General features: G+C 44.6%; 1 long non-coding RNA gene across 2 annotated transcripts, besides 2 other annotated features; it reads left to right on the top strand.

The window, feature by feature from the left end:
* Positions 535 to 1,035: an enhancer, noted in NCBI's record as "H3K4me1 hESC enhancer chr17:20978550-20979050 (GRCh37/hg19 assembly coordinates)". NCBI's record gives its function as "activates a minimal SCP1, AML or CMV promoter by ChIP-STARR-seq in naive H9 embryonic stem cells {active_cell/tissue: H9 hESC(naive)}" and the evidence as "EXISTENCE:reporter gene assay evidence [ECO:0000049][PMID:30033119]".
* Positions 854 to 15,911, top strand: LINC01563 (long intergenic non-protein coding RNA 1563). 2 transcript variants are annotated; one of them, NR_110895.1, is made up of 3 exons: positions 854 to 1,255; positions 10,059 to 10,182; positions 15,566 to 15,911. It is a non-coding gene; the product is annotated as a long intergenic non-protein coding RNA 1563 (long non-coding RNA). The 2 variants fall into 2 exon arrangements; NR_110896.1 differs by lacking the exon at positions 10,059 to 10,182.
* Positions 9,881 to 11,080: an enhancer, noted in NCBI's record as "BRD4-independent group 4 enhancer chr17:20987896-20989095 (GRCh37/hg19 assembly coordinates)". NCBI's record gives its function as "activates an origin of replication core promoter dependent on BRD2, P300/CBP, MED14 and CDK7 cofactors, and independent of BRD4, by STARR-seq in HCT116 cells {active_cell/tissue: HCT116}" and the evidence as "EXISTENCE:reporter gene assay evidence [ECO:0000049][PMID:35650434]".
* Positions 15,912 to 21,869: the final 5,958 nt, after the last annotated feature.

Raw genomic sequence — 21,869 nt, forward strand, 5'->3', positions numbered from 1 at the left:
ATGTATAGTCACCCTATTCCAACACCCCTAAAAGTCTGAACCCATTCCATTATCAACTCCAGTTACAAAATCTCATCTAAATACTGCCAACCCCAAAAGTCCCAAATTTCTTTCTTTCTCTCTCTTTCTTTCTCTTTCTTTCTTTCCTCCCTCCCTCCCTCCCAGCTTTTCTTTCTTTCCTTCCTTCCTTCCTTCCTTCCTTCCTTCCTTCCTTCTTTCCTCCCTCCCTCCCTCCCTCTCTCTTTCTTTCTGATGAAGTTTCACTCTTGTTGCCCAGGCTGGAGTGCAATGGTGCAATCTTGGCTCACCACAACCTCTGCCTCCCAGATTCAAGCGATTCTCCTGCCTCAGCCTCCTAAATAGCTGGGATTACAGGTATGCGCCACCACACCTGGCTAATTCTGTATTTTTAGGAGGGATGGGGTTTCACCATTTTCTCCACGTTGGTCAGGCTGGTCTCGAACTTCCGACCTCAGGTGATCCACTTGCCTCGGCCTCCCAAAGTGCTGGGATTACAGGCGTGAGGCACCGTGCCCGGCCGATGCAGTTCTTATAAACAGCAAAGTCTTGCTTTTGAATTACGAGTCTGTAGCCTCTTTTCTCCGCAACATTGAGCCTCTGCCAACCTTGTTAAAACTCAAGGATTCTTTTGTTATAACACTAAGAGTTGAAGGGGAGAATGGATATGGGCTACAGCTAGCCTTTTCTGCCACAATTCCACTTGTCACAGACATGTTAGTTCCCATTTGAAATTTTTCTGCACCATACAAAATTTAATCCTCAGGCCCATGTGGTCTGTGGGTGGGTCTTGTTCAGCCCCAACAAATGAAAGAAGATTAATTAACAGAAGCAGCTGCAGCTGGGCCTGGAGGCAGTGGCTCTACAGCAGCAGTGAGAGCCGAGCTGTGGCAGACACATGCTCTTCCCCTGACTCACGGCTGCCCAGTTCCCTCCAGCGAGGCTGCTGACCTATTTTTCTATTAGGAACAACCAGCCAATGTGATAATGAGGAAAATGTATTCTGGCCCCTATGAAGTTTAGTGAAGCCCGAATGAAGTGGAGGAGGCCACGGAGATGCACGAGGAAGAGCATTCCAGGCAGAGGGAACAGCGAGGACAAAAGCCCCCGGGCAGGAATGGGTGTGCAAGCCTGAGATCCAACATGGCGGAGAGCAAGCCGGAAGTGCTGCGCGGGGATCCTAAGGGAGCACTGAACAGGACAAGCTCAGTTTTGTCCCTCAAACCTCCACAATCAGGTAAGTCAGTCGGCCTCGCATAAGATATATGTTTTCCCCACCAATCTCCATTCTGAGGAGTGGAGTAGAAACTCCCTCTCCTCTCATGAAATGTTGAGTATCAGGGAGCAAGTGTGTGCTAAAAAGGGTTACCTCGGTGGAACTAGGTTGCTCAAATCCTGAACATTCCGAAGGAAGGACTGGCCCCTGACCAGCTCTGGGGAGCTAACTTCTGGGTCTTTGGAATATGCCTGAGGAGAGCACCTTTGTGACCTGAGACTTCAGCCCTGCCTACACCTTATGCTAACAGTGTGGTTTATGGGGAAGACCTGTTTTTATTTGCTGGGAGCCCTGGGCCATGCTGTATCTCTTTGACTTCTGGATGGGTGGGGAACTGAGGAATAAATTGCTAAGGCCAGTCATGTAGATGCTCCATGCCTATATGACTGACCTCCAATAAAAATCCTGGCACCAAGACTTGGGTAAGCTTTCCTCATTGACAGTAATTGGTGTGTATTATTGTCACACGTTGTTGCTGGGAGGACTAAGTGTTGTCCATGTGACTCCGCAGAGAACTCCTGGAAGTTCACCCCGGTTTCTCCTGAACTCTGCCCTATTGTCCCTTTTTCCTATGCTGATTTTAATCTGTATTCTTTTTATCCCCAAGTTCTGGCAAGTCTTTGATGTATTCTTTTCCCATAATAAACTGTAACTGTGAGCATAACAGTTTTTCCAAATTCTGTGAGCCCTCCTAGCGAATCATCAAACCTGAGAGTGGCCTGGGGGACCACAAAACAAAGTTGAATTCATCCCATCTATTTTTCCATCATCTTGCTACTCTACCTAGGTGTCAAAGCCCTAGTAGGAAGAGTCTGATTGGCTAACTTGAGTCACCCAGCCCATCTTGGCCAGGGGAGGACAGGCACCTTGACAAGCAGGCCCCACACAGCTGCACTGAGTGGGAAGGAGGATGCCCAAAATTACTTGTATCAGGAAGAGAGAGTTGGGGCCAGTGTGGTGGCTTACACCTGTAATCCCACTGCTTTGAGAGGCTGAGGCAAGAGCATTACTTGAGCCCAGGAGGTTGAGGTGGCAGTGAGCTGTGATCACTCTTCTACTCTCCAGCCTGGGTGACAAGACCCTGTCTCAAAAAAAGCCAAAACAAAACAGGAGAGTTGGGAGCTGGGATTCTGGTCAGGTCAAATAGTTAATATATGCACCAGGCAGGGAAATGGGAGTCCACGTTAGCAGGAAAAAGTTGGAGTCTTCTGGAGATACTGACCAAAAAGCCATGTGGTATCTGGGTTTGTATCCATCCAACTGTTGGCATCAAGAAATCACAACAGTCATTGGAGAGTGTCAGCTGCAGGATGCAACAGAATGTCAAAGATCCAGAGATTTTTGTTGTGGGTTGAATTATGTCCACTCCTGCCAAAATATGTTAAAGTCCTAACCTCTGGTACTTATTTGAAAATAGAGTCTTTGCAGATGTAATGAGGTTAAGATGAGGTCATACGGGATTAGGATGGGCCCTAAATCCAATGGCTGATTCCTCACAAAGAGAGAGATTTGATGACAAACAGGTGCACAGAAAGAAGACCATGTAAAGACGGAGGCAGAGGTTGGGGTGATTCAACCCAAGGAACACCAAGGATTGCTGGCAGCCAGCAGAATCAGGAAGGGGCAACAGTGGATTCTTCATGGAGCTGTCAGAGCATAACCCTGCCAAAACCTTGATTTCAAACTTCTGGCCCCAAGGACCATGAGAGAATCAATTTCTGTTGTTTTAAGCCACCAAGCATGTGGCAATTTATTATGGAAGCCCTAGGAAACCTTACAGATTTTGCCACTGGAAAGGGAGTGCTGCTTCTAAAGATACGGGTTGAATTGTCCACGCGGACGGCCAGTGCTGTAGAAAAATGATTGAAATGTCCACTCCTGTATCTACCAATCCTTTAAATTTCTTTCCCTGAATAGTTATTTCACAGGTAGGACGTTTATTAGTAATTTGATTTAGCCAATAAGCTGCTTTGCCTTATTTATTTGTGCTTCCAAATCCTCCTGTTCATTTAATTTTACTTTTCCCCATTTCCATATACGGCACAACAAGGAGCTATGCTGTATGCTCTCCTGGCTCTGCTTTCCAGGGAACAGAAGTAGTTATAACAATTTGAATTTCCCCATTGTAATCTTAATGACTCCTATATGTACTTGCACTCCTTTTAAATTTAAACGAGACCTGCCTAGAAGCAATCCTACCATCCCTGCTGGCAAGGGTCCACAGACGCCTGTTAGCACTTTTTGCAGGGGTTCCCCAGGCAGAAGGCTCACAGCTTTTGTGCAGCATAAATCTACTGCGGCACTACCGGCTGTAGCAGGGGACAGACATTGTACAGGGGTGAGGGAATGGCCTGAGCTGGAAATGCCCTGGTTTAGAACGGGGCCCAGGACAGGCCCCTCATGGCATTTCCCAAAATCACGTTCCCATCTTTATCAAACTTAGAGTGACATTTATTAGCCCAATGTTTTCCTTTTTTACATTTTGGACATATTTCAGACTCAGCAGTTTTCTTTTTTCCTCCATCTGGCAGCCTGACTCGCTGATTCTTTCTCTATTTTTTTAATATGACCATGCTTCCCATGGTTAAAACAAGCTCCAGGAAACACAGTATTTCCTTTACCCACTCTCAGTTCTGCCATAGCTTGTGCCAACAAAGTAGCTTTATGCAGACTACCTCCAATACTGTCACAGGCCTTAATATAATCAACTAAATGTGCTTTCCCTCTAATAGGTCGCAGAGCGGCTTGGCACTCAGGATTGGCATTGTTGAAAGCTAGTAACCGCAACACTATATCCTGAGCAGCCGAATCTGCAATCACCTTTTTAAGAGACTCCTGTAACCGAACTATAAAATCTGCATATGGTTCTTTTGGTCCCTATTTTATAGCACTAAAGGAAGGGTATTGTTCTCCTCCTGAAGTGATTTTTCCCATGCTCTAATGCACACTCCTCTAAGCTGCTCTATGGCATCATCCTGCATTACCACTTATGCATCTAAACCAACCCAGCTGCCGACCCCCAAAAGTTGGTCTGCAGTTATATTAATTTGAGGTTGGGCCTGGGCGTTGCAAGCAGCCTGAATGGAAGCTTCATCTGCCCACCAAGTTTTAAATCGTAAGAACTGAGCAGAGTCAGGCAAGCTCGAGTAAAAGCATCCCAGTCAGTAGAAATCATCCCACTGGAGACAGCAACATTCTTTAACTGTCACATCACAAAAGGAGAAACTGGTCCATATTGATTACTAGCTTGTTTAAATTATTTAAGTACTTTAAAAGGAAAAGGCTCAAATGTAGCTATAATATTCCCCTGTTGATCAGGTGGGTGTGTTCTAACAGGGAACTGCCAAGCATTCATATCACCCTCTCGTCTAGCTTGCTGGATTCCTGCCTGAATAGAACTGAGAGTGGTCACTCGAGGCGCTGCTCGAATAGTCACTTGGGCAACTGCTTTTCGTCCAGTGTCCTCTGGAAAAGAAAGATCTGAGGGTCAGGCCACTCTTTTTCTTCAAAATAATGAGGCGGTGTAGAGGGGTAGGGACAAACCTCTCCCTCCTTTGCCGCTTTAGCTGGCAAGCAAACCTGCTCTGTCACCTCTTCTGTTACTTCGTTATACTCTCCTTCTTCCTCTGATTCCTCCTCCTTGTCATCTGTGTGAAAAGGCTCCAAGGTGGAACGAACCAGAGCCCACACTGACCAGACAGTTATAGGAATATCCTCAGCACTATCCTTATATGCCTTTTTCAGTGAGCTGCCTACCTTCTCCCAGACCTCTACATTCATAGTTCCTCAGTCCAGAAACCAGGGGCAATATTTCTCTACTGCACTAAAAAGCTGCATAAGTTGGCTAGTGCTAACCTTCACTCCTCCTTTCTGAGCAGCTGCCGAAGCAGACTCATATAAGCCTCCTGCCTGCTGGACCCTTGTCCCATTGTTACCCGGATGCTTCCGAGCTCCCCTTACTCACCACAGGGATTGCTTAAGAGTACTCGGGTGTCCTCCAGTGTAGGTCCACATTCTCCAACCGTTGCTCCGGCAGCACTTCGACCCAGGTTCGAGCCCCACATTTGGGCGCCACTTACCAAGGCCAGCTCGGTCGTGGAGACCTCAACCCAGCAGTGCTAGAGGAATGAAGACAAAGACACAGAAATAGAGTGCAAAGTGGATCGGGGGCTGACAGCCTTCAGAGCTGAGAGCCACGAACAGCGTTTGACCCACATATTTATTGACAGCAAGACAGTGATAAGGATTATTTCTATAGATTATAGATTAGCTAAAAGCATTCCTTATGGGAAACAAAGGGACAGACTCTGGCTTGTTATCTGCAGCAGGAACATATTCTGAAGGCACAGATCACTCATGCTATTGTTTGTGGTTTAGGAACGCCTTGAGTGGTTTTCTGCCCTGGGTGGACCAGGTGTTCCTTGCCCTCATTCCAGTAAACCAACAACTTCCAGCGTGAGTGTCATAGCCATCACAAGCATGTCACAGTGCTGCAGAGATTTAGTTTATGGCCAGTTTCTCATGGCCTGTTTATGGCCAGATTTGGGGGGCCTGTTCCCAGCAACATTTTTCACAGGAATATAAAAAATGATGGTAAAATTCATATGGAACCAGATCGGGCACAGTGGCTCTCGCCTGTAATCCCAGCACTTTGGGAGGCCAAGGCAGGTGGATCACCTGAGGTCAGGAGTTTGAGACCAGCCAGGTCAACATGGTGAAACCCTGTCTCTACTAAAAATACAAAAAATTAGTCAGGCATGGTGGCAGGTGCCTGTAGTCCCAGCTGCTTGGGAGGTTGAGGCAGGCGAATCTCTTGAACCCAGGAGGCGGAGTGCAACCATTGCAGTGAGCCAAGATTGTGCCATTGCACTCCAGCCTGGGCAACAAGAGCGAAACTCCATCTTGAAAAAAAAAAATTCATATGGAAACACAAAAGACACTGCATGGTCAAAACAATCTTGAGCAACAAAACCAAAGCTGGAGGCATCACACTAGTTGGCTTCAAAATATATCACAAAGCTTAGTAATCCAAATAGCATGGTAGTGGCATAAAAACAGACACATAGACCAATGGAACGGATTAGAAAGCCGAGAAATAAATTCATGCAGTTATAACCAGCTGATTTTTGGTGAAGGTACCAAGAACACACAATGGAGAAAGGACATCTCTTCAACAAATGGTGTGGGGAAAACTGGATGTCCACAAGCAAAAGAATAAAATTAGATCTTTATTTCACTCCATATACAAAAATCAAAATGGATTAAAGACTTAAATATATCTGAAACTGTATAACTACTAGAAGAAAACAGAGGGGAAAAGCTCCATGAGCTCCACTGGTCTGGGCAATAACTTTTTGGCTATGACCCCAAAAACATAGGCAACAAAAGCAAAAGATGTAGATGAGATTACATGAAAATGAAACACTTCTGCACAGCAAAGGAAACAATCAACTGAGTGAAGTGACAATCTGTAGAATGGAGAAAATATTTTCAAACCATACATCTGATAATGGGTTAATATCCAAAATATATAAAGAACCCAACTCAATAGCAAGAAAACAACCCAATTAAAAAATAGGGGAAGGATATGAATAGACACTTCTTAAAGAAGACATACAAACAGCCAATGGGTAAACGAAAAAAAAATTATCATCACTAATCATGGGGAAAACGCAAATTAAAATCACAATGAGCTATCACCTCACACCTGTTAGAATGGCTGTTATCAGAAAGACAAGGGGTAACAGGTGTTGACAAGGATGTGGAGAAAAGGGAACCATTTTCCCTTTTGTTGGTGGGAATGTGAATTAGTACAGCATTATGGAAAACAGTATGGAGGTTCCTCAAAAAACTAAAAATAAACTAACATATAATCCAGCAATTCCACTACTGGGTATGAGGCAGGGGAATAGGGTCTGGAGGCAGGGAACCTAAGGCTGATTAGCACAGACTTCCTAGAGCTGAATCAAAAGGAAAATCCCACCTCTCCACACCAAAGTAACAGAAGGATCAGAGGCTACTCCGTTTGCACTACTTTGCAGATGAAAAATGGAAAGTACCTCTGATTGGTCGCCTCCCACAACCAATCAAACTGGTCATGGGCCTAACCTTCATATGCACAGGGGTGTAACTTTGTTACTTCACCTCAGCCTCTGATTGGTAGCCTTCCCCAGACAATCAGACTGGTCGTGGGCCATTCCTTCATTTACATAGGGTGTAACCAGGTAACCAATGGGAAACCTCTAGAAGGTATTTAAACCCCAGAAAATTCTGTAACCAGTGCTCTTGAGCTGCTTGCTCAAGCCTGCTCCCAACTCTGTGGAGTGTACTTTCATTTCAATAAACCTGTGCCTTCGTTGCTTCATTCTTTCATTGCTTTGTTTGTGCGTTTTGACCCAGTCTTGTTCAAAACATCAAGAACCTGGATGACTTGTAGTCAAGACCCTCGACTGGTAACACTAGTCCTTTTTCACACGTTTTTTTGCATATTTCCCCCACCCCCGTGTGGCTTGCCGAATTATTTTCTTAATAGTTTTTGATGTGCAGTTTTAATTTAGTAAAGTTTATCAGAACTTACTTTATTATTATTTTCTAACCTAAGAAACTTTTGTCTACCACCCCCACACCCCGCTTCCACCAATTCCTGAAGGCATAATCCTGTTTTCACCCTCTTATGTTTAGGTCTATCGTTCATCTTGACTGAATTTTGAATTTTGTATGAGATTAACGTTCATTTATTACCCCATAATGACATATAGTAATTCCAGAGCCATGTATTGAAAAGACTTATTTTTTGAGACGGCATTTCACTCTTGTTGCTCAGGCTGGAGTGCAATGCTGCGATCTCGGCTCATCGCAACCTCCACCTTCTGGTTTCAAGTGATTTTCCTGCCTCAGTCTCCTGAGTAGCTGGGATTACAGGCGCCCACCACCACACCTAAGTAATTTTTGTATTTTTAGTAGAGATGGGGTTTCACCATGATGGCCAGGCTGGTCGCAAACTCCTGACCTCGTGATCCACCCGCCTCGGCCTCCCAAAGTGCTGGGATTACAGGAGTGAGCCACCGCACCCAGTATTTTTTTTCTTTTTAAAATTGAGATGGGGTTGCAAAGGCTGGAGTGCAGTGGCTCGATCACAGCTTATGGCAGCCTCAATCTCCCAGGCTCAAGCTATCCTCCAACCACAGCAGGGACTACCAGTGCATGCCACCATGCCCAGCTAATTTTTGTACATATTTTTTGGTAGAAACAGGGTCTCACTATGTTGCCCAGGCTGGAATCAAACTCCTAGGCTCAAGTGATTCTCTCACCTCAGCCTCCCAAAGTGCTGGGATTAGAGGCATGAGCTGCCATGCCTGGCTGACTTTACTTTCTTCATTGGATTGCTTTGGGCCTTTGTCAAAAATTAAATAATATAAATATGATTTATTTATTGGCTTTCTATTCTGTTCCATTGATCTGTTTATCCTTTTACCAGTACCATACTGGCTTGATTACTGTAGTTTTACAGTAAGCCCCTTTTTTTTTTTGAGACAGGGTTTCACTCTGTCATCCAGGCTTGAGTGCAGTGGTGTAGTCAAAGATCACTGCAGGCTTGACCCCCCAGGTTCAAGCAATTCTCCTGCCTCAGCTTCCTGGGTAGCTGTGACTACGGTCATGCACCACCACACCCAGCTTTTTTTTTTTCTTCTGTTTGTTGTAGAGATAGGGCCTCCCTATGTTCCCCAGGCTGGTCTCAAACTCCTGGATGCAAGTAATCCTCCCACCTCGGCCTCCCTATGTTCCCCAGGCTGGTCTCAAACTCCTGGATGCAAGTAATCCTCCCACCTCAGCCTCCCAAAGTGCTAGAATTACAGTCATGAGCCTCCATGCCTGGCCTTGACACTCTATTTTTTCCTAAAGTTCTGGTTTTCATCTAGTATTCTTTCCCCTTGGCTGAATAATTTCTTTTAGGATTTTTGCAGTGCAGGTATACTAGTGATGAATTCTTTTAATTTTTAAAAGTATAATTTTAATTTTTTATAGTATAATTTTCAATTTTTAAAATCTGTAAATCTATTTTTCTATTTTTGAGATGGAGTCTCACTCTGTCACCCAGGCTGGAGTGCAGTGGGGTGATCTCAGCTACTGCAACCTCTGCCTTCTGGGTTCAAGTGATTCTCCTTCCTCAGCCTCCTGAATAGCTGGGACTACAGGTGTGCACCACCACACCTGGCTAATTTTTGTATTTTTAGTAGAGATGGAGTTTCACCATGTTGGCGAGGTTAGTATTGAACTCGTGACCTCAGGTGATCAGCCTGCCTCAGCCTCCCAAAGTGCTGGGATTACAGATATGAACCACCACACCCGGCCTGTACATTCATTTAATGTTCATTCTTGAAAAATCTTCTGGCTGGGTGCAGTGGCTTACACCTGTAATCCCAGCATTTTGGGGGGCCAAGGCAGGCGGATTGCCCGAGGTCAGGAGTTTGAGACCAGTATGTCCAACATGGTCCGACCCTGTTTCTACTAAAAATACAAAAAAAAATTAACCTGGCGTGGTGGCATGCTCCTGTAATCCCAGCTACTTGGGAGGCTGAGGCAGGGGAATTGCTTGAACTAGGGAGGTGGAGGTTGCAGTGAGCCAAGGTTGCACCACTGCACTCCAGCCTGAGTGACAGAGCAAGACTCCCTCTCAAAAAAGAAAAAGAAAAACAAATCTTTTTTGTTGGAAGTAGAATCTGGGTTAGAATTTTTTTCTTTTGGCACTTCAAAGATGTTTCAGTGTCTTCCAGCCCCCTCGTTTCTGATGAGAAGTTAGCAGCCATTCCAGGCTTTTCCTTCTGTTGTCTGGCACTGGTGGGTTCTTGGTCTCATTGACTTCAAGAATGAAGCCGTGGACCCTTGCGGTGAGTGTTACAATTTTTAAAAATGGTGTGTCCGGAGTTTGTTCCTTCTTATGTTCCGACATGTTCAGAGTTTGTTCCTTCTGGTGGGTTCGTGGTGTCGCTGGCTTCAGGTGTGAAGCTACAGACCTTGGCGGTCAGTGTTACAGCTCCTAAAGCTGCACATCTGGAGTTGTTCGTCCCTCCCGGTGGGTTCCTGGTCTCGCTGGTCTCAGAAATGAAGCTGCACACCTTCACAGGGAGTGTTACAGGTCACAAAGGTAGCACAGACCCAAAGAGTGAGCAGCAGCAAAATTTATGGCAAAGAGGGAAAGAAGAAGGCTTCCACAGCATGGAAGGGAACCCCAGCAGGTCTGCCGTTGCTGGCTCGGGTGGCCTGCGTTTATTCCCTTATCTGGCCCCACCCGCATCCTGCTGATTGGTCCATTTTACAGAGAGCTGATTAGTCCATTTTACAGAGAGCTGATTGGTCCATTTTGACAGAGCACTGATTGGTGCATTTACAAACCTTTAGTTAGACACAGAGCACTGATTGGTGCATTTACAATCCTTTAGCTAGACACAAAAAGTTCTCCAAGTCCCCTACCCTATTAGCTAGACACAGAGTGCTGATTGGTGTGTTTACAAACCTTTAGCTAGACACAGAGTGCTGATTGGTGTATTTACAAACCTTTAGCTAGACACAGAGTGCTGATTGGTGTATTTACAAACCTTTAGCTAGACACAGAGTGCTGATTGGTACATTTACAAACCTTTAGCTAGACACAAAAGTTCTTCAGGTCCCCACCCAACCCAGAAGCCCAGCCGACTTCACCTCTCAATGGCACTCACCTCAGGACTTTGCAGCACCTAGCCCGTGCACTCCAGCATCCCAGAGGGAGCTTGTCCCCCGATCAAGCCTAGCAGGTGCCGGCCGGCCGCCCGCGGAGCCCACGCCCAACCGGAACCCGCGCCGTCCAGCGAGTACCGCTCGCGGCCCCGGCTCCCACCTGTGCCTCTACCTCCACATCTCCCCGCCAACAGAGGGAGCCGGCTCCGCCTCGACCAGCCCCAGAGAGGGGCCCCCACAGTGCAGCGGCAGGCTGAAGGGCTCCTCGAACGCCGAGGCCGAGGAGGCGCCGAGAGCGAGGGCTGCTAGCGAGTTGTCACCTCTCACTTCCATGTGTGATAAACTGCTTTCCTCTTGCTGCTGTTGGGAGACAATTTTCCACGATTCTCCGTTTCCTCACATCTAGGCATTAACAGCAAATTTCCTCAGATATATTACATTCCAGGATAGTAAAAATAAAAGAAGGTTTTTTTTTTTTGAGACAAGGTCTCCCTCTGTTGCCCAGGCTAGAGTGCAGTGGCGCCATCTCGGCTCACTGCAACCTCCGCCTCCTGGGTTCATGTGATTCTACCACCTCAGCCTCCTGAGTAGCTGAGATTACAGGCACATGCCACCATAGCCTGGCTAATTTTTGTATTTTTAGGAGAGATGGATTTTCACCATATTGGTCCGGCTGGTCTTGAACTCCCGACCTCAGGTGATTCGTCTGCCTTGGCCTCCCAAAGTGTTGGGATCACAGGCATGAGGCACCGTGCCTGGCCAGAGTTTCCACTCATTCTCCGCAGAAAGGTCCATTCCCGTAGGTACTTACTCTGCCACACAGAACCAGAACCTCCATGAGTCTCTGCTAGTGGCGTTCACTGTTTTTTTCCTTCCTTGTAATTTATTTATTTTTAAAAAACTGGGTGCCTTCGTCCTGTAGGGGTTCCACCTTTGTGTATTTTGCTGTTGCATCCCCATTATGTCATTTTATTTTAAAAATATTTCACCATATTTGCTTCAGGTTTCTCTTTTTAAAGAAAATCTTATCAACAGTCCTGTGTTTGTTCCTTTTGTGTGTTTACAGTGAGTGGATGTTCTATAATGTATCTATCAGCCTGCTACTAATTGTTTCCATCTTTTGTTCTTGTAAACAATAGCAGGTGAAATTGACCTGGAATCTCTTCCTTTGTGCAAACTGTAACCAATTACAAATTGCCCTCCAAGAATGTATGCTAATTTACCCTGGCAGGGTCCTTCCTCCCCAAAGATTTTTGCTATATAATTATTTTTTAAAGTATGTGTATTCGTTTCCAAGGACTGCCATAACAAATTACCACAAATGGAGTATCTTGAAACAATATAATCTGGCCAGGCGTGGTGTTGTGCACCTGTAATCCCAGCTACTCGGGAGGCCGAGGCATGAGAATCATGTGAACCTGGGAGGTGGAGGTTGCAGTGAGCTGAGATGGCGCCACTGCATTCCAGCCTAGGTGACAGAGTGAAACTCTGTCTCAAAAAAAAAAAAAAAAAAAAAAAAAAAAAAAAAAAAAAAGAGAGAGAGAGAGAAAGAAAAGAAAAGACAATATAAATCTCAGTTCTGAAAACTGGAAGCCTGAAATCGAAGTGTCCCAGGGTTGGTTTCTCTCCCCAGTTCTGGAGGCTGCCATGCCCCTTGGTGTCCCTGGCTTGTAGGTAGCTCTCACCCTGTCTCTGCCTCCATCCTCATATGGCATTCTCCTTTGTCTGTCTCTGTGTCTCTAGGGCTGTTTTCTCCTCCAGCAAGGGCTGTTTTCTTATTCTATCCAAGCTGTTTCTGCTGAGATGGTTGGTTGGATCCCAGTGTTGCAGGTCTCATCTCTCCAACAAGGGTTTGGCCACCACATCTTTGGTGGTTTATTTTATTTTTAAAAATTCCTATTTTGGCTGGGTGCAGTGACTCATGCCTGTAATCCCAGCACTTTGGGAGGCCGAGGCAGGCAGATTGCTTGAGGCCAGGAGTTCAAGACCAGCCTGGGCAACCTGACGAAACCCTGTCTCTACAAAAAACACAAAAACTAGCCAGAATATGGTCGTCTATACCTGTAGTCCCAGCTACCTGGGAGGCTGAGGTGGGAGGATCTCTTGAGTATGGGGGGTTGGAAGCTGCAGTGAGCCAGGATTGTGCCACTGCACTCCCGTTTGGGTGACAGAGCGAAACCCTGCCTCAAAAAATAAATATTTCTTATTTATTTGTGGGAGGGAATCAATCAGAAGTACTTTCCATTGTTCATCTTCAAGGCAGTGCAAAGGGAGTAGCCTTTGATCCTTTTGTTACTTTGCTGTGGAGAGATTTTCCTTTTGATTCAGTTCTAGGAAGTCAGTGCTAATTGCCTTTAGGTTCCTTGCCTCCAGACCCTATTCTCGCGCCTCACTAGTACCCATCGTGTACTTTTAAAGTTCCTGCAACTCAATAATAAAACCCCAATAACTAAATTTAAAAATGGGTAAAAGATTCCCATGGGTGAACCTGGAGGATACGTTATGTGAAAAACGTGAGGTACTGAAAGATAAATACTGCATAGTCTCACTTATGTGTGGAATCTAAAAAAGGTCGAACTTGGCCAGGTGCAGTGGCTCATGCCTGTAATCCTAGCACTTTGGGAGGCTGAGGCAAGGGGATCACTTGAGGCCAGGAGTTAGAAACCAGCCTGGCCAATATGGCAAAACCCCCATCTCTACTAAAAATGCAAAAATTAGCCAGTGTGGTGGCATGTGCCTGTAGTCCCAGTTGCTCAGGAGGCTGAAGTGGGAGGATTGCTTGAGCCTGGGAGGTTGAGGCTGCAGTGAACAGAGATAATGCCACTACACTCCTGCCTGGGCGATAGGGTGAGACCCTGTCTCCAAAAAAAAAAAAAAAATTGATGAAACTCATAGAAGCAGAGTCAGATATGGTTACCAGGGGCTGGAGAGATGGGGTGATGTTGATCAAAGGATACCAAATTTCAGTTAGACAGCAGGAATAAGTTCAAGAGGCCTATTGTAAAACATGGTGACTACAGTTAATAACAATGTATTGTATTCTTGATAAAAAAATAAGTAAAAGATTAGAACAGGCACTTTGTGAAGAAGACACATATGAGTAGCCAATTAACCCATGAAAATGTTCAATATTGTTAGTCATCAGGGAAATGTAAATTAAAAGTACATTTCACATCCATCACACACCATTTTATACCCTCAAAATTGCTAAAATTAAAATAACCCACAAAGTCAAATATTTGTGAGGATGTGGAACAACCAGAGCTCTCTCACACATTACTGGTCCAATCACTTTCGGAAAAGGCCTGGGAGTTTGTCTTTTCTTCCTCTTCTTTTTTTTTTTTTTTTTTTTTTTTTTTTTGAGATGGAGTCTCACTCTGTCACCCAGGCTGGAGTGGAGTGGTGTGATCTTGGTTCACTGCAACCTAGGCCTGGGAGTTTCTTGTAAAACTAAACATGCATCTACTCTCTGACCCAGTGTCCCACCCTTTGGTGTGCACCAAGAGGAATGAAATATATTTTCACCAAAAGACTTGTACTATAATGTACGTTTCTGGTTTACTCACAGTAATCCCAAACAGGAAGCAGCCCTAGCAGCCATCCATAGGAAAATGCTCAACTGTAGTAAATTCATTCATTGGAACACTACTCAGTAATAAAAAGGAATGAGTCACTGCTACCCACAACATAGATGAATCTCAAAAGCATTTTGCTGAGTGACAGAAGCCTTAAAGGAAGCATGCTCTATGGTTCCATTTAAACAAAGTTCTAGAAGAGGCTAAATAAATCCATGTTGGAAAAAAATCAGGACAGTGAATTGCTTTGGGAGATTGTCAATGAAGACTGACCAGAAGGGGCATGAGGACAGTTTCTGGGGTTATGGTAGTGTTCTGCAAGAACTCCATGAGCCAGTCTCTGGTAGCCTCTAATCTGCTTTCTGTCAAATTCACAGAGACAGAAAATCAGATTAGGATACAAATCTACAAATTTTGTAGAGTTCTTGCCATTTATCTATTTGTTTTCTGTATGTCTTATATGGTTTTTGGTTCCTCAGTTCCTCCATTACTGCCTTTTTTGTATTTAGTTGATTTTTTGTAATGTTTCATTTTGATTTCTTTCTTCTTTCCTTTTCTGTCTTTTTTTAGTAATTGCCTAAGTGGTTGCCTTGTAAATTACATATGACATCTTAAACTTGTAACAACCTAGTTTGAAAAATACCACCTTAGTTTAAGTAGTACATAAACACTCTCGTCCTATGTCCAACAGTAAAAGTTAATGGAAGATTATAGCAACCCAATAAAAATGAGATCACTAAGGCCTCAGATCCTTCAGGAATAAAATTTTAGGTTATTCCTCCAGATACAGAACGCTGATCAGCTGAGAGGGTGGCTGAGGGCAAAGGTAGCAATGAAACAGATAGTGAAAGAAGGAAGTTATAAATATTAATGATGGTCTCTGACTAGTTATAGTAAAGAAGACTGTAGTAAATATGCATACTTTAGTCTGTTTGTATTTGTATATATGAATCAATTTCAGTTTTATTTCTCTTTTCTCCAGCTATTTTACATAAGGAAAGTGGGTGGTGATTAACCTCAGAGTCTCCAGGGACAGACTATCCAGGACTGTGCCTGAAATAGAAGAGGAATTAACATCATACAGAACTGAATACGGTGACTGAGGGGAGTTTGTGTCTCCCCTTTTAGGAAAGAAGATGAGAATAAGTATGAAGGAGAGTCATGTACTGTACATTAAGCAAAAGCATGATGCTGTTATTTGAAATGTTAATTAGAGGTGCCCACTAAAAACTGCTCAGCAATTTTCTTGGAGACCTCAGTGCTCATGTTATTCTTTCCTCTATCTTATGTTTTCCTCTCTCCTGCCCTTTTCAGAAACAGTCTACAGCAGAAGCCATTGACCCTGTTCAAATTACAGAAGAGCCCTTTTTGAATTTATGAAAATCCTGAAATATTAAAATTTATTATTTTAATATTAATATATTAAATTAATATATTAATCTACCCGCCTCGGCCTCCCAAAGTGCTGGTATTACGGGCATGAGCCACCGAACCCAGCCTCATGTTATGACTTTCCAACCATAATTTAGTGTTAACAAAGTAATCACAAAAGTAATATATTAGTTTGAAATTAGTAATGCCCACCAGATTCAATCACTAAAAAATGTGATATCATTAAAAACCATTTTTCTACATGTTAACAAGAGCCAACTTCTGTCCCAAGCAGGTTGAATTATCACAATTTCCTGATAAGCAGAGTCCAGCTTCCTAATTCAAACTCTCAAACTCATTGTTAAATAAGCCCAGAGGAGTTGGACATTTTCCATCACGCATGTGGGAAGAAAGAAGGCCAACGATGCTCTTCAGATTTAACAAGTAAACCTTAAAAGTATCTGTTAAGAATACAGAGATGCCCATGACAACACTATCACCAGAGCAACAACTATCAACTAAGGTAACCATGTAGAAATAATGTCCTTTTTGTAGGTCTTCTTTTCTTCCTTTTTCTTTTTCTTCTTTTCCTTTTTTTTTGGTGCAAGACATGGCAACAATTTCTAAAGTCTATGTTTACATTATACTTGCAAGAAAAGGCTTATTTTAATCACAGCACAAGTGGGTAACTGTTACAGATATTCACATGACTCTGCACTTCCCATTTGACAGCAGAGGGCAGGATTGTGGTGGCCGCTCTCAAGTTACCATCATCACAAATCAGCTTATTTAAAACAGTTTATTATGATTATAAATAATCTAAAATATTTTATTTAAAATAGATTATTTAGAATAAATTATTTTAAATACTTTGTGATGTAGAACATTCTCTCTGGCCGGGTGTGGTGGTTCATGCCTATAATCCCAGCACTTTGGGAGGCCAAGATGGGAGGATTGCTTGAGCCCAGGAGTTTGAGACCAGCCTAAACAACATAGCGAGACTCCGTCTCTACTAAAAATACATAAATGAGCTGGGTGTAGTAGCTTGCATCTGTAGCCCCAGCTACTCAGGAGGCTGAGGTGGGAGGATCACTCAAGCCCAGGAGGTTGAGGCTGCAGGGCTGTGATCGCACCACTGCATTCCAGCCTGGGTGACAGAATGAGACTGTCTCAAAAAAAAAAAAAAAAAAAAAAAAAGGGCTAGGCGTAGTGGCTCACATCTGTAATCCCAGCACTTTGGGAGGCCGAGGCAGGCGGATCACTTGAGGTCAGGAGTTCAAGACCAGCCTGGCCAACATGTGAAACCCCGTCTCTACCAAAAAATACAAAAATTAGCTGGGCGTGGTGGCACGTGCCTGTGATCCCAGATACTTGGGAGGCTGAGGTGGGAGGATTGCTTAAACTAGAGGCGGAGGTTGCAATGAGATGAGATCACACCACTGCACTCCAGCCTGGGTAACAGAGTGAGACTGTCTCAAAAATAAAATAAATAAGTAACATTTTTTTCTGACCTTCCCTGTTCTTTCTGAGACCCCCTTGTTAAATTTTAAGACTTGCAGTTTTTGAGGCCTGGTTCTGAAGTGAACTACTCAGCATTACTTGCAAAGGACAGACCTGCAAAGTGACGTTTTGCTGGCAGAAATGGAGAAGGAGCTGAGTACAGATTTCATGTAATAAAAGTGAAATGAAAATGAAGTGCACGTGGAAATGTTCTTCTCTGAAACGAATTAGACTATCCTGTATTTAGCTGTTTTGGGGAAAACATTCAATATTAATATCTCTTATGCTTCTTGAAACCACCCCCACCACCTTCTTCTTCTTTTTTTTTTTTTGAGACAGAGTCTGTCTTTTGTCACCCAGGCTGGGATACAGTCGCATGATCGTGGCTCACTGCAACCTCCACCTCCCAGGTTCACGTGATTCTCCTGCCTCAGCCTCCCAAGTAGCTGAGATTACAGGCGTGTGCCACCACACCCAGCTAATTTTTTTTTTTTTTTTGAGACAGAGTCTTGCTCTTGTTGCCCAGGCTGGAGTGCAGTGGCGTGATCTTGGCTCACTGCAACCTCCGCCTCCCAGGTTCAAGCTATTCTCATGCCTCAGCATCCTGAGTAGCTGGGATTACAGGTGCCCGCCACCACGCCTGGCTAATTTTTGTACTTTTAGTAGAGACGGGGTTTCACCATGTTGGCCAGGCTGGTCTCAAACTCCTGACCCAGGTGATCCGCCCGCCTTGGCGTCCCAAAGTGCTGGGATTACAGGCTTGAGTCACTGCATCCAGCCTTTTTTTTTTTTTTTTTTTGTATTTTTTTAGTAGAGACGGGGTTTCACCATGTTGGCCAGGCTGGTTTCGAACTCCTGACCTCATGCAATCTGCCCGCCTTGGCCTCTCAAAGTGCTGGAAGTACAGGCATGAGCCACTGCACTCGGCCACCCCTTTTTCATCTATGTTTGTGTGGTCTTTACAACTGCCCCATGAAGCAGGCATCAATTTCCATTTCACCCACAAGGGACTGCGGCTCAGAGGCCCAAATTCACACAGTTTTAGTGGTGGCTGAGGATGTGAAGCTGGCTTTCTGAGGCCTTGATAAGCTTCAGCAATAACAAGGCTGACTGATACTTATTAAGTAGTTACTATGTACCAAGACCTGTTCTATTGCGATACATAGATCCATCCATCCACCCATCCATCCATCCATATACAGTTGACCTTGAACAATCGGTGGGCGGGGGTGGGGGGGTGTTAGGAACACCAACCCCCTACACAGTTGAAAAACTGCATATAACATTGGATTCCCCCAAAGCTTAACTACCAACAGCTTACTGTTGATGGGAAGCCTTACTGATAACATAAAGTTGATTAGCACATTTTTTTAATGTTATATATATTCTACTCTGTATTCTTAACAATAAAGTAAGCTAGAGAAAAGAAACCATTATTTAGAAAACCAGGCTGGGCATGCTGGTGCACACCTGTAGTCCCAGCTACTTGGGAAGCTGAAGCAGGATGATCGCTTGAGCCCAGGAGGTTGAGGTTGCAGTGAGCCGAGATCCCGCCACTGCACTCCAACCTGGGTGACAGAGAGAGACCCTATCTCAAAAAAAAAAAAAAAAAGAAAGAAAGAAAGAAAGAAAAGAAAAGAAAAGAAAATCAGGCCGGGTGCAGTGGCGCACACCTGTAATCCCAGCACTTTGGGAGGCCAAGGCAGGAGGATCACTTGAGTCCATGAGTTTGAAACCAGCCTGGGCAACATAGTGAATTCCTGTCTCTACAAAAAATACAAAAATTAGCCAGGAGTAGTGGTGCACACCTGTGGTCCCAGATACTCTGAGGCCGAGGTGGGAGGATCACTTGAGCCTGGAGGTCAAGGCTGCAGTGAGCTGAGATTGTGCCACTGCACTCCACCATGGGTGACAGAGCAAGACACTGTCTCAGAAAAAAAGAGAAAATAAAATTATAAGGAAGAAAATATATTTAGTGGGTCGTCATAAAAGTCTTCATCCTCATCATCTTCATGTTGAGTAGGCTAAGGCAGAAGAGGATGAGGGGGAGAAAGAGGAGGAGGGAGAGGGGGAGGAGGGGTTGGTGTTGGGGTCTCAGGAGTGGTAAAGAAGTGGTGGAGGAGATGGAAGGGGAGACAGAAGAGGCAGGCACATTTTATTTTTTTAAATCCGTTTATAAATAGACTCATCCAGTTCAAACCTGTATTGTTCAAAGGTCAACTGTATGTATAATTTAAACCTCATAACAACCCAATGAGGTAGTTGAGACTGGCTCTGTCTGATGTTGACTCATTAGACTCTTCAACCCAGAACATATTTACACTTCAAAAAGTAAAAAGGAAGGCCAGCCGTGGTGGCTTACATCTGTAATCCCAGGGCTTTGGGAGGCCAAGATGGGAGGATTGCTTGAGGCTAGGAATTCAACATCAGCCTGGGCAACAATAGCAAGACCCTGTCACCACCAAAAAAAAAAAAGTTAGCCAAGCATAGTGGTGCGCACCTGTAGTGCCAGCTACTCGGGAGGCTATGGCGGGGGGAACCCTTCAACTCAGGAGTTTGAGTCTGCAGTGAGCTATGATCACACCACTGCACTCCAGCATGGGTGACAGAGTGAAAGCCTGTCTCTCAAAATAAAATAAAATAAAAACAAAAAGCTTTCAATTTCTAAAAACCTTGCATTCTGAGACAGGCCATGAATATAGAAGCTTCCAGGAAGCCTTGAAATACACCAAAAGCTTAGCATCTTATATAAACCATATCTTGTTTTTAATTAATCAAAGACAGAAATTTCTGGTTTTTATCAAAAGAAGACAAGCAACCTCCAATGACAATTGATGACATCTGTATAATAATTTGAACAATAAGCACCACCTTCTCTCTCTTTTTTTTTTTTTTTTTGAGATGGAGTCTTGCTCTGTCCAGGCTGGAGTGTAGTGGCGTGATCTCAGCTCACTGCAAACTCCGCCTCCTGGGTTCATGCCATTCTCCTGCCTCAGCCTCCCAAGTAGCTCGTACTACAGGCACCTGCCACCATGCCCGGCTAATTTTGTTTTTGTATTTTTAGTAGAGATGAGGTTTCACCATGTTAGCCAGGATGGTCTCCATCTCCTGACCTTGTGATCTGCCCATCTTGGCCTCCCAAAGTGCTGGGACTACAGGCGTGAGCCACCACGCCCGGCCACCACCTTCTCTTTTTATCCGTCCGTTGTTAGTTGGTTTTCTGAGAGCTAGACTCCTTTGTAATGAAACTTGTACATTAGACTTTTCTCTTTGGGAGTACCATTCTCATTCCCATTATTTCAGAAACTGGGACACAGAGAAGTTCAGTAACTTGTCTAATGATAGGGATAGAAGAGGTCAGAGAGAATGTTCGAGTCTCATGGTGTTGCCCAGGCTGGAGTGAAGCTGGGATAGGGAACCAGGCAGCCTGTCCCCATAAGCCCTGCTCTGACTTGCCCAGCCAGTGCTTGACTTGTAAGCACCAGCTTTGCTGAAGTTGTTCCCTCCGTATACTTTACTAGCCCTTACTATTTTTTTTTTTCCTTCTAGCTCTGTCCTAGCTACTGAGAATACAGATTTATTTTAAAAATGCAGTCACTGTTCACGGGAGTTTAAACTTTTAAATGAGGGCATCAGACAAGTAAACAGGCAGTGATAATAGGGCATGGTAGAGCCATGATAGAGGGATGCAAAGGACTGTGAGAGCCTGGAGGAAGCACCTCACTCAGCCCTAAAGGTCAGGGAAGGCCACCTACAGGTGGGACACTGGAGCAGTCTTGAACATCAGACTGTCTCAAAAAGAAAGAAAATCAAGTATGGGGCTGGGCCCAGTGGCTGATGCCTGTAATCTCAGCTCTTTAGGAGGCTAAGGCAGGCAGACTGCTAGAGCTCAGGAGTTCAAGACCAACATGGGCAACATAGCGAAACTCCATCTCTACAAAAATAAAAATAAAAATAAAAATTAGCCAGGCGTGGTGGTGTGTGGCTATGGTCCCAGCTACTTGGGAAGTGGAACGGGGAGGATGACTTGAGACCAGGAGGCAGTGGTTGCAATGAACCATGACTGTGCCACTGCCACTGCACTCTAGCCTGGGCAACTGTCTCCAAAAAAAAAAAAAAGAAAAGAAAGGCCAGGTGCAGTGGCTCATGCCTGTAATCCCAGCACTTTGGGAGGTTGAGGCAGGAGGATCACTTGAGGCCAGGAGTTTGAGACCAGCCTGGCCAACATGGTAAAACCCTGAATCTACTAAAAATACAAAAATTAGCTGGGCGTGGTGGCACATGCCTGTAGTCCCAGCTACTCTGGAAGCTGAGGCATGAGAATCACTTGAACCTGGGAGGCAGAGGTTGCAGTGAGCCATGGCTGCGCCACTGCTCTCCAGCCTGGGTGACAAAGCAAGACTGTCTCAAAAAAT

Source organism: Homo sapiens, chromosome 17 (assembly GCF_000001405.40).
Source record: "Homo sapiens chromosome 17, GRCh38.p14 Primary Assembly".
Taxonomy (NCBI): domain Eukaryota; kingdom Metazoa; phylum Chordata; class Mammalia; order Primates; family Hominidae; genus Homo; species Homo sapiens.